Source organism: Homo sapiens, chromosome 15, assembly GCF_000001405.40.
Source record: "Homo sapiens chromosome 15, GRCh38.p14 Primary Assembly".
NCBI classification, from domain to species: domain Eukaryota; kingdom Metazoa; phylum Chordata; class Mammalia; order Primates; family Hominidae; genus Homo; species Homo sapiens.
In genome coordinates this window covers 40,438,353-40,452,000 of record NC_000015.10, presented here as the reverse complement: position 1 = coordinate 40,452,000, position 13,648 = coordinate 40,438,353, and the positions used below count along the sequence as shown (strand labels likewise).

Here is a 13,648-nt window from a genome sequence, read left to right as displayed (position 1 = left end):
GTGGGCAGAGAGCATTGTGTTTTAATCATACCAGTGTTCTGCCTTACGAACTTTAACCTGACAAATTAGAAGGTAATCACATGCAATAAAAAACTAGTCTTTAGAGGCTTTCTTAAAAGGCACATGTCCCTACTTTAGGCAACGTGCCTTCCCCCAGCTTCTTCCCAGTACACAACTCATGTGTGCATAAGGTAGACCTGCATCCACAGGTGCTAGCCCAGCTAAGCCTGCCCCTCATTCTCAGGCACACAGCACCTCTTGTGACCTTTGCCCATTCAGCCAACATTTGCTGGCCCCCCCACAGCAGAGGGAGACCCATGTGGGGCTGGAAGCCACTTCATGCCACTGCTAATCCTGTGTGGCCTTAGTCAATGGCTTGAACTCTGAGTCTTGGTTTCCTTGTCTACACAGCAAGGTTGCTGTGAGGATTAAGTTAAAGAAGAATGTGTGTAAAGTGCCTAGCAGAGTTCCTGGAATACAGCAGGTTCTCAATACAAGCTCATTTGTTTTCTCTTTCCCCTACAAGCACCAGACTAAGTGCTGGAAAAAAATGCAAAAGACTAAGAGTTGGAGCATGGGCTAGCAGGAAGACAGAACAAGATAGTGTGACAAGGGCTATAATGGACTGCTCAGAGCTTGGCTGAGGGGTCCCCCCAAGGCAGCTTCTCAGAGGGTACATATGAGCCAGGCATTTAGACACTTACTGAGGGCCTACTTTATGCCACGTGTACCGTGGGAACAAAAGCCCAGTAGGGAGTGGGCAGCACTCTGAGAAATTCATTTCATAAATGTTTGGATGCAGGAAAGGGTGACAAACAAAAGCTAAAGTTTTTTTTTTTTTTTTTTTTTTTTTTTGAGATGGAGTTTATGCTCTTGTTGCCCAGGCTGGAGTGCAATGGCGTGATCTCGGCTCACTGCAACCTCCGCCTCCTGGGTTCAAGTGATTCTCCTGCCTCAGCAGGAGTATCCCGAGTAGCTGGGATTACAGTCACCCACCACCACGCCCAGCTAATTTTTGTATTTTTAGCAGAGACGGGTTTTCACCATGTTGGCCAGGCTGGTCTCAAACTCCTGACCTCAAGGGATCTGCCTGCCTCGGATTCCCAAAGTGTTAGGATTACAAATGTGAGCCACTGAGCCCGGCCCAAAAGCTAAAGTCTTAAAGCAGGAAACAAATGCAACTTTTCCCAGACTCGCCCCTATTAGCTCCATGTAGGATGACTCCAGGCAGGGGTTGGGGGGCACCCCTTAACTCTGGGCTAAGGCTCCCTCAGACCCTCCCATCCAGATGCCATACTGCCCAGGATCAGCCAGAGGCAAACCTACACCTGCAGCAAAACCCATTTGCTCTGAGCAGCTAACAATGTGGGAGAAATAAAACAGGAATAAAACAGGGGACAGGGCACCCCAAAGCTCAGCAACAGGCCTCAGCAGAACCAGGGAAAACCTTGTGCTACTGATGCACCATTCTTCAAAAAACATGAACAGCTCACCAGCCTTCTCCAAGCACCTGCCCAGGAATGGCAAAGAACGAGTGTTGGTTCAACCACCAGGACATTACATGGACCAACAACTTAGATTTCTAAAATGGCTTGCCAAGACTACAGGTGCTAGCTCTAGTCCTGAACAGAAACTAGCCAGCCAGGCCAAGATGGAGCTCTGCCTCCAGCCTCCTCAGCAGAGCACTAACCTCCTGAATGAACCAGCTGTGAGGAACAAGATCCAAGACCAGGCCTCCCCCACACTCCACTAGCAGGAGCAGAATCGCAAGGCAGATCGTATCAGAGTTATGGGCACCCTACCCAAATATCACTCACTTAACTAGTTAAGTGGCTAGTGCCACCTCCAATAGGATGCCAGCCCTATGGGGACAGGTAGGCTCTGCCTTCCTTAACAGTAAATCCCACCCACATGACTTAATAAGAGCTTGGTAAGAATAAATGAAGATCTGGCTGTCCACCTGCCCCACCCTGTGTAAAATCTTTATCCTAGACTTAGAGCACCACTTGGAGCTCAAGACAAGAGCCCTCTGACCTCCAAACTCTCCTCCATCCCCAGGAGTCCACTGTGCATCTTCAATTTAATCCACAGTGCAACAAGGTTACAATAGGAAATCTCTTGTATTTTCATGGCACAACCCTCCTTCATTACCATCAATTTTCATTTTCTTTTTTTTTTTTTTTTTTGAGACAGGGTCTTGCTCTGTCACCCAGGCTGCAGTAGTAGGGCAGTGGCACAATTATAGCTCACTGTAGCCTCGAATTCCTGGGCTCAAACAATCCTCCTACCTCAGCCTCCCGAGTAGTTGGGACTACAGGCCTACACCACCATGCCTGGCTAATTTTTAAATTTATTTTTATTTTTGTAGAGACAAGGTCTCACTATGTTGCCCAGGCTGGTCTCAAAGTCCTAGCCTCAAGTGATCCTCCCATTTCAGCATCCCAAAGTGCTGGGATTACAGGCATGAGTCACCATGCCTGGCCTCATCCTCCTCCTTCTCTCTCCCAAGTTGCCCAGCTACCTCTGGAAAGCATTCCACTGGCTGTGGCTGCCCCTAAACCATTAAGCAAGTGAATGTAGTACTACAGACACTTGTATCAAGACAAAGAATGTCACAGATAGGTGAAATCAGGAGCAAAGAACTAAAGTTAGCATTATCAGTCCCCAGACACCCTAAGTGTGCAGGGTTGGAAATTTCTGATTCACTGCAGAGGTGACTACTGTAAAAGGATGGTCAATGTTTGTCAAGCACTCACTATGCACCTGGCAAGGTCCTAAGCACACTACATTCACTATCTCATTTATCTTCCCAACAGCCTTATGAGCTAGTTGTTACCATTTCATCCTAACAAGGAAAAAAAACAGGTACAAAGAGTTAAAAGGAAGGCTGGGCGCGGTGGCTCACGCCTGTAATCCCAGCACTTTGGGAGGCCGAGGTGGGTGGATCACCTGAGGTTGGGAGTTCAAGGCCAGCCTGACCAACATGGAGAAAATACAAAAATTAGCCGTCTCTACTAAAAATACAAAAATTAGCTGGGCGTGGTGGCACATACCTGTAATCCCAGCTACCTGGAAGGCAGAGGTTGCGATGAGCCGAGATCACACCACTGCACTCCAGCCTGGGCAACAAGAGTGAACCTCCGTCTCAAAAAAAAAAAAAAAAAGAGTTAAAAGGAGATGCTGGGTGGGCGTGGTGGCTCACACCTGTAACCTAGAATTCCTGTGCTGTGGGAGGCCAGGAGTTAAAAGACCAGCCTGGGCAATACAGTGAGACCCTGTCTCTACAAAAATAAAAAATTAGTCGGGCATGGTGGTGTGTGCCTGTAGTCCCAGCTACTTAGGAGGCTGAGGTGGGAGGATCACTTGAGCCCGGTAGGTGGAAGCTGTAATGAACCATGATCATGCCATTGTACTCTGGACTCGGTGACAGAGCTGGCTCTTAAAAAATAAAAAGTTGCTAGGATTGAGGACAGAGGTGAGCCATCCTGGCATCTACACCAAGGCCCACACTTCCTGCACTGCAACACACTGCCTCTACTTAGGGCATCACAGGATGGCTGCTGGATCACAGACCAAGATGCAAGATAACTTGCACGTTCAGTTTTATTTTTCTGTGCTTTAATTATTGGCATTACCACACATTATTAGTTTTCCCACCACAGAGGAACTGAAGATGTACTCCAATTAAATGGCATCTATGGGCTAGAACGTAAATACAATTAAAAAAATTTTTTTTGAAAGAAACTTTTTTTTTTTTTTGAGATGGAGTCTTGCTCTGTCATCCAGGCTAGAGTGCAGTGGCGCAATCTCGGCTCACTGCAACCTCCACCTCCCAGGTTCAAGCGATTCTCCTGCCTCAGCCTCCTGAGTTGCTGGGACTACAGGCGCATACCACCATGCCCGGCTAATTTTTGTATTTTTAGTAGAGACAGGGTTTCACCATGTTGGCCAGGATGGTCTCGATCTCCTGACCTCGTGATCCGCCTGCCTCCCAAAGTGCTGGGATTATAGGCGTGAGCCACCGCACCTGGCCGAAACAAACATTTTATATCCTAGAAAAGGGTGACATGCTAAGAAGTCTGGGCTAAATAAATAAATGAATAAATGAGAGAGCTTCAAAGATACGTTGTCCTGATTTTATAGTAAATCCAGAAAAAGGTAACCCCCAACCATGCATCTACCCAATACCTCTTGTCTCAGGTGAAATTCCCTGCCTCCAGCCCAGACTGCAATGAAGACTAAAAACTGGTCATCATGCTCTAAACTGTCATCTTAACATGCAAAGACATATTAACTGCCCCTTGTCTACCTCCCTCTGGGCCAAATAAATTCAAGTCCTTTCAATTTCTCTGGAAATCATCTCTCAGTTATTCAATCATTTTTATTTTTATTTATTTATTTATTTATTTATTTATTTATTTATTTATTTATTTATTTATTCTGGAGACAGAGTCTTGCTCTGTCGCCCAGACTGGAGTGCACTGGCGCGATCTGCAACCTCTGTCTCCTGGGTTCAAACAATTCTCCTGTCTCAGCCTCCTGAGTAGCTGGAATTACAGGTGTATGCTACCAGACCCGGCTCATTTTTGTATTTTTAGTAGAGACGGGGTTTCAGCATGTTGGCCAGGGTGGTCTTGAACTCCTGACCTCAAGTGATCCACCCGCCTCAGCCTCCCAAAGTGCTGGGATTAAAGGTGTGAGCCACGGCACCTGGCCTCAATCATTTTTATAATTCTTTTTTACATTCTAGCCAATGTGGAAACCCCTCCAGGCACAAAGCAGGAGACACCCCTCACTACTGAGGAAGGCCCTGCTGGCCCTGACTATGGTGGAAACGTGACTTCACCCCTCCTTCTGGCATACTTGTTAGGATCTCCTGGCATCAAGCGGCACCCTAATAATACCTTTCCCACGATTTCTACATAGGTCCTCTAAAAAACAGTAATTCACCTTTAAACCACCTGGCCACATGAGAATGTGATTAACAATTATTCCTAAACATTGTGGACAGGTAACCAGAGTTGGAAAAGGGTCTGTGTGGGCTGCCCCTCTCCACTGCACGCAGGAAGCTGAAAAAGCTGCACTGATGGAGGCTAGGAGTCCCCAAAAGGCATTGGAGATGGAATAAAAGTAGGAGCCATCAACAGCACTCCAGGTGAGATCCCTGGGGTCAAGAGAACGGCAGAAAGACAGGTCCCATCCTCCTTACCCAAAGACAGGAGGTCAAAGCACCTCTTTTCCCCAAACCCACTGGAAAAGGAACACATGCAAGAAAAAATATTGAGACCCAAGTTCCTGCCTGACATTGGTAACAAGACTAAGAAATCACCTGTTTTTTTTCATTCAGCTAACTTGGTCATAGTGCTTAGAAATAAGTTCCCAATTCAAATCAGCGAGGCTGAGAGACAAACCCCTTTTTTTCTCCTGGTGGATTGGGCCTGCAGAGGATCTTAAAAGACAATGTTATTTTTTTGTGTTGGGGGGACACTGAGTCAAGTGAATAACCATCCTTGCAGGTGTTTCCCACTGGGAAAAATGAAATCTGATGACCCCACTCCCACCCACAGGGACACAACACAAAGTCCTGGATGTGACTGTACTCCAGGGCCTGCTTACCAAGTCACCTGGGGCAGGACACCAACACCCCTGTTGGAACCCCAGGGCTGGGCCGGTGTTCAGTGAGGGTGCTTGTCAGGCCGTCTGGCCCTGAGCAGACCACGTGCAGCCTCACTGCTGCTGGTGCTCTTTCTCCTCCTCCTTTTTAGCCATTTTACTGATCATTAGTGGCAGTACCAGGAGGTGGGCAGGGGAACATAAAGGAGCTGAAATTCAAACCAGCCCATTTTACACCACTTAGGTGCCTCCCATAAAACCGGGCAAGATTTCATCATCCAAGAACTCCCTGTCCTCTGTCCTGTGGAGGTCTAAGCAGCCTGAGGGGTCAGGAGCTACACCATCTCCAGACCCCAGGATCAGGAGCCTCTATCTCTAATTATCATGAGCTCTTGACTGCGCATGGTATTTTCTGTCACTTCAGGGTTAACAGGCATTTCCAGCCATGAGCTGGCCCATCAAGTCAACGCCAGGAAACCTGCAGAGTGGGAGTGCTGGGGCTGCCCTCAGAACCGAAGCACACTCTCCTTGTCCCTCCAAAGTCCCCAGCACAATGGCAAGTTCACAAAGGAAGTGAGCCTTGCCAGACTGTGCTAGCAAATTCCCATAAATACTTGGGTCGGGGTAGTACTGCTTATGTAAAATGCTTCCCCATTGAGAGATGCTGCTTTATTTACATTCTTCACAACCCATTCATAAAAAGGAGGCCCTTTAATGTCGGGGCTGTTCGTATAATGCTCCATAAACTCGGCAGCTTCGCCTGGCAGCCTTAGTTCAACACAGGCTACTTCTCAACTCCAGAGACTTTTTTTCCTTAAGGTTTTTATTCTCCTTAATGACTCACCTTGCGACAGGGTGCTGAGGCCAGATGTTGCCGGAGCAAGGCCAAGAGGAATAAGAACAGATAAAATGAAAACACACAAGTCCTCCTGGATGCTGGAACAGAGAGGTGAGGAGGAATGAAAATAATTTTGAGAATTCCCCATAGAACTCCAATTTGAAGTATGTATGCTAGGAGGCTGAATTCCTTCCAGGTTTACTAAAACTTCCTTTCTGGATGTCAAATGTGCCCCAACTTATACCTCTAACCAGAGAAGGTGTGAAAGGGTTGTTTTTTTTTTTTTTTTTTTTACCCAAAAGGAGCTCTCTCTAGTTTTTAATTTGCACCGGGGATGAATAAATAAACAGAAATTTTCTCTGTTTCTTGATATAAGTGTTCCAGGGGCTGCTGGCTCCAGAAGGGGCACAATTTGCTCAGAGTGAAGAAACTCAGGCAATCCCCAGAAAGAGAGGAAGGACTGTGTTCTAGGACACACAGCAAACACAGCTAAAGGAGCTGAGAAGAGAGCCCAGGAGATGCATTCTGAGGTAGCTTTTCTCCTGCTACAGTAGAAGGAGGAGAGAAGTAGTAGGGATTTTTTTTTTAATTGACGGGGGAGCGGTCTGCATTGCCATGGCAACTGTGAGGGGTGGCCTTCCCGCGTAGAAGGGAAATGCTGGTCCATTAATCATCAAACTGGGGCACAAAAGGGAGGTTTGGGGGAAAGGGGATGGATGCAGAATATATTTTTTCACTATCTGGCCTCTAACCAGTCACCAGTCCTCTTTCCCGTTTCCCCCATGGTCCAGGGTTGATGGTGAACCAAAACAGAAGCCTGAGAGAGCAGGGATTGTAGCTTTCCTTTATGAGGGGTCCAATGTGGGGCTGATTGTGCCTCTTATGTTGGTGATGCCCCCATAAACACCTCTTCCAAACCAGCCCCAAAAGTCCCATCTATGGGCCAGACCCAGGAGTATTTTTCTTTTCTGTGCTCAGAATTGTGTTTTCTCCCTCATTTGCACCCGGTTTGAGAAGAGATAAAACATGGATTCATTTAGCATGAACAACAAGGAAAACTGCATAAGAGCAGCAAAGCTGGGTAGAAAGAATGGTGGTCCGGTGAGGTAGGAGGAAAACAGGATTACAGCCCTTTTCCAATGTCTATATGGTATCACATAAGCAATCCATAGGACTCTTCACCAGCAGAAATATTAGAAACAGCAGTTAAATTTCCCATTTACAGCACCCCAAACATGCCCTATCCATATGCCTTTGACAGAAAGGGCTGGAAATCTCCAAGGACTCCAATATGAGCATTTCTGGAGAAGCTGAAAGGAAGGTCTCCCCCTTGTTCCTGCCTAACTCAGCAACCAACCACATTTATTCACTCAACAAAAATGATGTGCACAGCACTGTACAAGAAATACCAGAATATTCACACACACACACACACACACAGAGGTTTAACACTCATATTGTTCCTGTCCTTAAGAAATTTCCAACCTACAAAACCACTCAAGAGGATACCACGTTAGAAAATCCAGAGTCATGAGCTCAGGCGGGGATGACTATGTTGGCCTGGAGTGGTCTGAGCAACAACCAGACTAAGGACAAGTGGGATTCAAGTGGGAGTAAAGGAAGGGGAGCGGCAGCAGTGAAGATGCAGGAAGAAAAAATGTGCATGGTATGGCTAGGGAAGAGCTGGAGGGGACACTGTCTAGGGTCAGACTGCAGGGAACGGGGAGCCATTGCAAGTCTGTGAGAAAGGGAGTGACACCGGGAAGGGGTGTTTTAGGAAGAATGACCTGGTAGCTGCATACAGACTGGATCAGAAGGGCCAAAGGAAGCAGGAGGGAAAGGGAGGCTATAACAACAACACAGGCCTGACACGGGGACAGCAGGACAACAGAAAGGAAGAAAGAGAGGGAGATATCAAAAAGAACCTAATCACTGGCTAAACTCTCCGGAGCAAACCCTCCTTAACACCAGATCCGACTGGCATGAGTCTCCTGCCAGGTAAGAGCCCTACCAAAGAGGGAAATGCTATTTGGGCAACTCCCCTTCATATTCCAGTGGCCAGACCACGTCATCCCCTTCTGACTGCCACCAAAAGAAATCACATGCCGTGTAGCCTCACAGAAGGCACAAAGGCCTTGAGATTCATCATCACTCTCTGGATTTTAGACATGCAATTAAATTATCTCAGAACAAACTTTAGCCTCCTGAGTGAGGTAATACCTACCTTTCTCACAAGCCTCAGCTCCATCCAGGCTGGGGTCTAGATCATTCCAGGGAGGTCCATGGGGGGTGGCCATGAATAAACTCCCATGCCCATGCTACCCTCTGAAGTGGCAGACAAGCAGCTTTCCCAGGTGGGATTACAGCCAACCACAGTTGAGAGCGGCTTCTAACCAGCCCTACCTGAGGTGGGACTCGAACTCAGATTCTCAGCAAAATCCACATTCTGAAACAGCCTGAGTTTCCCTGTCCTTATGATCCCAACTCTTCTTTTGGGTGTGGGGTTCACATGGAGGGCATGGGAGCTCTGAATGAGTTTTTCCAAGCAGGTAAACAACATCCAGCTCACAGCTGGTCACCGGGGGAGATGGAGGCACTCACAGCTTAAGCCAGTGGTTCCTAAGCATCCTCCAAGCTGGCCAAGGACAGTGGTGCCCCTCCAAGACATGTGGTCCCTCTGGGCCCTTTTTCTTTTTTTTTGTGGAAGACAGCGAGGTGAAGAGAGTAGGGAGGAAAGTCTCAGGTGGCACAAAGTAAAAGGACTGGAAAGCTTTTTATTTCATTATTAAATTCCTGCCTGGATTTATAAACTCAGCTTCTCATTTTTCTAAGTGGGTACCTTTGTGGCTAAGGAAAAGTGCTGGAGGCAGCTGCGGAGGGCTGGCGGGAGCCCACGGGGTGGGGTGTCTCTTGTCCTAATCAAACTAGTCTTCTGCACTTCTAACACTGTCGACAATGGGCGACTAGGAGATGTCCCAGGTGGGGTTAGACTTCTGCCTGTAGGCAGACTCTGCTTGTTGAAAAACCCCTCATTCTTGACAGGCTCTACAGCGGCTCACTGGGTCTGTCGCCTCGGTGAGTAGCAACCCCGTCGCCACCAGCCAAGGCACATCATGAGCATACACCCCCACCCCGGCCCCTCGGCCCCCGGCAAGTAGACCCCACTTCCCAGAGCCTCGAGGCCAACAGCGAGCGGCTAGAGCGGCAAGCCAGTGCCGCAGCTCCTCCCGGCGGGCGCCCCGGCCCCCGCAGTCCCCGGGGCAGAGTCCGGCCCCGTCGCCCGCCCCTCGGAGTGGGTGCCTCGGACCCGCTCCCCTCCCCGACGCCACCACCTGCGCCCGCTCCGGCGCCGCCTTTGTCCGGCGCTTCACCGCCAAGCGAGCCCCTCGGGCCCGACCTGACCCGGCCCCCAGCCCCAGAAGAGAGGCGGCGGAGCGAGCAGGGCAAGACCAGGCCGGGCCGCGAGCACAGGGTCCCGCTGTCACTTGGAGGCGGTCTGACAACTTCGATTCCCCCCGCCACACCTCGGACTCGGCCGCCGCCCCGCAAGGTCCCCGCAGGGCCTCCCGCGGCCCACACTCGCTTTTCGAACCGGTCCCCTTCCGTCTTCGGCGCCTCCCTTCCTCTCAGCCCGATCGAGTCGGGTCTACACTACTCCCCCCTGCCGCCCCCGGCCCGGCGCGGCCCTCATCCCCTGCCCCCCATCCAGCAATAACCGGTCAGCTCCCAGCGCGGGAGGGCGCCCCCCACCCTGAGCGGGCGATCCCGCGGCGCCGCCCCCGGCCGCGGCCCCTTGCCTCGGGGACCGCGATGGGGGAGGGGGCGCGGCGGGGGCCTCGCCGCCCGCGCACTCGGAGGCGAGCCGGCTCCGCCGCGGCGAGGAAAGACCGGCGTCCTCCCGCCCTCCGCAGCTCGGGACGCCCGCGCCGCCGCCGCCCGGCCGAGCTGCCACCCTGCGGCCGCCACCCACCCCGCCCCCGGCCTGCAAGGCGGGCGGCCCCCGGGGGCTGTCACCTCGAGGCGCGCCGCGTTCCCCGATGGCGGGACCGTGGTGCCGGACCCAGGGGAGGGAGGTGGCGCGAGCGGGCGGGCGGCCGCACCTGCTTCGCGTCGTCCGTCCGTCCGTCCCTTCCCGGGCTGGCGGGGGCGGTGGCGCGGCGCGCTCGGTGGGGCGCGCTGACGGGCGGCCGGTGCTCTCCCCCTTCGCTCTTCTGCCTACCTCGCTCGCTCCCTCCCTCCAGCTCGCCCCTTCCCCCTCCTCGACCCCGGCCCCTGACTCACCAGAACGGGCGGCGCGGACGGCGCGGCTCTGGGCGCCCGCAGGCCCCGGCCGGGCTGGAATCCGGCGGCTGGAACCCCCCGGGGGCGCTCAATTCCCGGGCTCCACGCTGCTGCGTCAGCGCCTCCTCCTGGGGGCCGGGGCCGGGCGGGCGGAGCGGGGACCGCGGCCGGGCGGGGCCGTCGGGGGGGGCGGGCGCGCCTGGCCGGGGCGGGCGGACGGCGGGGGCCGGACGGGCGGGGCAGGCAGCCGGACGGGCGGGCGGCGGGGGCCGGGCTCCGGGATCCGCTACGCCGCTCGCGGTTCCCCCACAAACTCCCCGAGAGCGGAGCCTCCGCCGCCCTCCTTCCTGCTTCCTCGTCCCCAGCCAATCAGCAGCGCGCCCCTCGGCCAGCTCCGCCAATCAGCCGCCCCGCCCTGCGCTGGCTCCGCCAGCCAATCCGGCCCTCGGCTCCCCCTCCCGGTCTCTGACCAATCAGAACCGTGGGTCGGTCGTCCCAACGCAGGGGGCAGCACGAGGCGGCCGGGGGAGGCGGTGCGGGGAGTGGTGGGGCCTTGGGGGAGGGGTGCCGTGCCAAGGGTGGTGGCAAGGGGTGATTTTCTTTGCCGGCTTCTTGGATTTTTCTCTTCGTCTTCAGAACCTGAGCCCGTATCCCACGGTGACTCGACCCCAATCTCCCAGCTGCTAGCCCCCCCGGAAAAATCTTATCTCCCCCCGCCCTGGCCATCACCCCTCCGCATCCCCTTTCCCCCAAATCCTCCCCAGCACGCGCTGGAGAAAACTGCGGGCCGAGGAACACCCCATCCTCGCCGGAGGCTGCTGCCCCCAGGGCAAAGCTTCAGGAAGACCAGCCGAAAATCAAGCGAGAACAACCCCCCTTTCCTGCAGAAAGGGCCCCAGACTCCTGCAAAAGGGCCCCGACTGCTGAGAAGCCCCTCCCGCCCTTGCCTCATCTTTCCGACTTCCCTGCCTGCCACGTCTCCTTTCCTTTCCAGCAAGGTCGGTCCTGGCTCGGTAACCCCTCACCCGCATCTCTTTTTCCTCTTTCTGCCCTTCACCTACCGCCCCCAACCCCAGCTCCTAATTCACCCTCTTCAGAAGCAGAGTGTGGAGCCCTCATCCATTTCCAGCTGACAGCAGAGCCTGGTCTGTGAGTCCTTGACACCCACACACCCTCTTCCACCACCGCGGGGAACATCAGAGCTCTCCGGGGGAGGGAGAAAGGGGCGGGCAGCCTGACAGGAGCGGCTGGACTCCCTCCCTCGCGTCCCCAAGCTACGGGAGAACCAAGTGTAGACACTTACCTGGCTTCCCCCTAGTCACCAAATGCTGTGGCTCCGTCTCTCACCCCCACAGACGTGCCCTCCCAAGCCCGAGCACGCTCGCGGGGTCAGTGGGGTGGGTGGGCACAGCAGGCTAAGGGCACAGAGAGAGATGGGAAGTCCCTGTTAGGTGCGGGAAGGAGCTGTGTCTTGGGCACCTGGTGGTGCCAGAGCCCGCCTAGGACTTCACTAAGCCCGGGATATGCACACAGTAGGTTCTCGAGAAATGCTGAGTTCACCCCTGAACAAAGCCTCATTCCCAATTCAGGCGGGGGAGGGGAGCTTTAGGAGGTAAAAGGAGCAGCGGCAGAAAGGGTAGTGTCAAGTCACCAGAGCGCTGGAGCAGCCCAGGGAGGGGCTGGGCCCCAGGAACGCCTTGGGCAGAGAGAGGCACCCAGAGTGCTGAGGCTGCCCAGGCAAGCAAGGAAAACCCAGCCTTGGAGTGTGGCCCAGGGGCTTCGGAGGGGCTCCTCCTGCACCACACACAGCGCCCAGCCTTTCCTAGACCTTGGGACTCCAGCGCTCACCCAGGCAGCCTTTTAAGACAATCAGGGCTGCTAGCCAATATGGCTGGGAAACAACCTCCCCCAGAAGCAGTTCCCCATCTGCCTCCAGAGCTGTCCAGGGGGCCCAGACTGTCTTAGCTGTTTGGGGGGACACACTTAAAGGAGGGGCCCCCTCAGCAGGGAAAGTGTGTGAATGGAAGCTAAAAGCTAAAACTGTGGCACGGAAATGTCTCGAAGGTCCAGGTTCTCCCACTGCCACTTCTCCCACCTCCCACCCTTGGGGAAAGCAAAACCCCAAAGCTGTAAAAGTAGGACGCTGAAAGATTTCTCCCCTTCCTGGACAGGACAGAGGTTCCCGGCAGCGCCCCCCCAACACACACCAGGCCAGCCCTACTCCCCACCTCACAGAATTCCCCCTCTCCCTGTCCCAGTCTGGCCCATAGGCAAATTAACCCCACGGTGGCCCCCACTCGTCAGAGATTGGTGGTGGAGGGTACAGCAGTGGTGGCCACGGGGGCAGAGCCATGCTACAGGCCAAGACAGAAGAGAGGCCGGGCTCCTGTCTGCAGCCCAGGCGGCGCTGACCTTGGCAGCCACTTCAGGCCTGATAATGGGCAGGGATGGAGGCCGGGAGGGCCAGAAGAGGAATGTACCTGGTGGCAGGGAAGGAGACCTAAGTGGCAGGAAGCCCACGTTCAGCCGAGGAAATGGCAGCAGGACGAGGTGGCAGGATTGGGTGTCTTCCTGGTGTTGGCATTAGAGGGCCCTGGGGTGAGCAGGGGAGTGTTGTCTTATCTGGGGTCTCAGTGGGAGGGAAAGGAAGGAATACCAACCGGAGAGGAGGCAGAGTAGTCATGACAGCCCACCAAGTGCCTGCCTGGCCGCTGGAGGAGTTCTCCCCTCAGAGCCTCCAGTGTGGGTGGCGGTGTCCGCTGCCCCAGGAGGCTCTGACTGAGTGGGCTATGGTGCGGGGACACGGGCTGGCTAAAGGCACTAAGTGTTCCTCCTGTGCCAGCTCACTGAGCCACCTCTGTCCCCCCTTCCTCCCTATTGCTTGTTAAAACAAGCCAGCAAAGAATAGGCAGGGGC

At 53.7% G+C, this 13,648-nt stretch overlaps 1 protein-coding gene across 16 annotated transcripts in view, besides 10 other annotated features; it reads right to left on the bottom strand.

The window, feature by feature from the left end:
* BAHD1 (bromo adjacent homology domain containing 1) overlaps positions 1-13,648 on the bottom strand; it is a 30,785-nt gene that overhangs the window by 16,236 nt on the left and 901 nt on the right. For 4 of the 16 annotated variants that reach the window (NR_125372.2, NM_014952.5, XM_047432247.1 and 1 more), the window contains exon 1: positions 10,733-11,048. The exons of 1 other annotated variant lie outside the window; for it this stretch is intronic. Coding sequence is in view for 6 of the 15 variants with exons in the window: in XM_011521367.4 (XP_011519669.2) it covers positions 6,458-6,599 (142 nt within the window). In the remaining 9 variants the exon portion in view is untranslated. Of the gene's footprint in view, positions 1-6,457; positions 8,653-8,675; positions 9,562-10,465; positions 10,592-10,732; positions 11,049-11,820; positions 11,884-12,035; positions 12,245-13,212; positions 13,326-13,648 lie in introns of those variants that run through there. 11 more of the 16 variants (XM_011521367.4, XM_047432241.1, XM_011521366.3 and 8 more) reach the window with 9 other exon arrangements.
* Positions 5,704-6,205: an enhancer, noted in NCBI's record as "H3K4me1 hESC enhancer chr15:40737995-40738496 (GRCh37/hg19 assembly coordinates)". NCBI's record gives its function as "activates a minimal SCP1, AML or CMV promoter by ChIP-STARR-seq in naive H9 embryonic stem cells {active_cell/tissue: H9 hESC(naive)}" and the evidence as "EXISTENCE:reporter gene assay evidence [ECO:0000049][PMID:30033119]".
* Positions 9,623-9,692: a silencer, noted in NCBI's record as "silent region_6334". NCBI's record gives its function as "represses an Ori minimal core promoter by ATAC-STARR-seq in GM12878 lymphoblastoid cells {active_cell/tissue: GM12878}" and the evidence as "EXISTENCE:reporter gene assay evidence [ECO:0000049][PMID:35858748]".
* Positions 9,713-9,832: a silencer, noted in NCBI's record as "silent region_6333". NCBI's record gives its function as "represses an Ori minimal core promoter by ATAC-STARR-seq in GM12878 lymphoblastoid cells {active_cell/tissue: GM12878}" and the evidence as "EXISTENCE:reporter gene assay evidence [ECO:0000049][PMID:35858748]".
* Positions 9,998-10,497: an enhancer, noted in NCBI's record as "H3K27ac hESC enhancer chr15:40733703-40734202 (GRCh37/hg19 assembly coordinates)". NCBI's record gives its function as "activates a minimal SCP1, AML or CMV promoter by ChIP-STARR-seq in primed H9 embryonic stem cells {active_cell/tissue: H9 hESC(primed)}" and the evidence as "EXISTENCE:reporter gene assay evidence [ECO:0000049][PMID:30033119]".
* Positions 10,498-10,999: an enhancer, noted in NCBI's record as "H3K27ac hESC enhancer chr15:40733201-40733702 (GRCh37/hg19 assembly coordinates)". NCBI's record gives its function as "activates a minimal SCP1, AML or CMV promoter by ChIP-STARR-seq in primed H9 embryonic stem cells {active_cell/tissue: H9 hESC(primed)}" and the evidence as "EXISTENCE:reporter gene assay evidence [ECO:0000049][PMID:30033119]".
* Positions 10,498-11,342: a biological region, named in NCBI's record as "H3K27ac hESC enhancer GRCh37_chr15:40733201-40733702".
* Positions 10,553-10,612: a silencer, noted in NCBI's record as "silent region_6332". NCBI's record gives its function as "represses an Ori minimal core promoter by ATAC-STARR-seq in GM12878 lymphoblastoid cells {active_cell/tissue: GM12878}" and the evidence as "EXISTENCE:reporter gene assay evidence [ECO:0000049][PMID:35858748]".
* Positions 10,673-11,342: a silencer, noted in NCBI's record as "silent region_6331". NCBI's record gives its function as "represses an Ori minimal core promoter by ATAC-STARR-seq in GM12878 lymphoblastoid cells {active_cell/tissue: GM12878}" and the evidence as "EXISTENCE:reporter gene assay evidence [ECO:0000049][PMID:35858748]".
* Positions 11,061-11,246: a silencer, noted in NCBI's record as "fragment chr15:40732954-40733139 (GRCh37/hg19 assembly coordinates)". NCBI's record gives its function as "represses an EF-1alpha promoter that drives an FKBP-Casp9 reporter gene in an ReSE screen in K562 erythroleukemia cells {active_cell/tissue: K562}" and the evidence as "EXISTENCE:reporter gene assay evidence [ECO:0000049][PMID:32094911]".
* Positions 11,805-12,342: an enhancer, noted in NCBI's record as "H3K27ac-H3K4me1 hESC enhancer chr15:40731858-40732395 (GRCh37/hg19 assembly coordinates)". NCBI's record gives its function as "activates a minimal SCP1, AML or CMV promoter by ChIP-STARR-seq in naive H9 embryonic stem cells {active_cell/tissue: H9 hESC(naive)}" and the evidence as "EXISTENCE:reporter gene assay evidence [ECO:0000049][PMID:30033119]".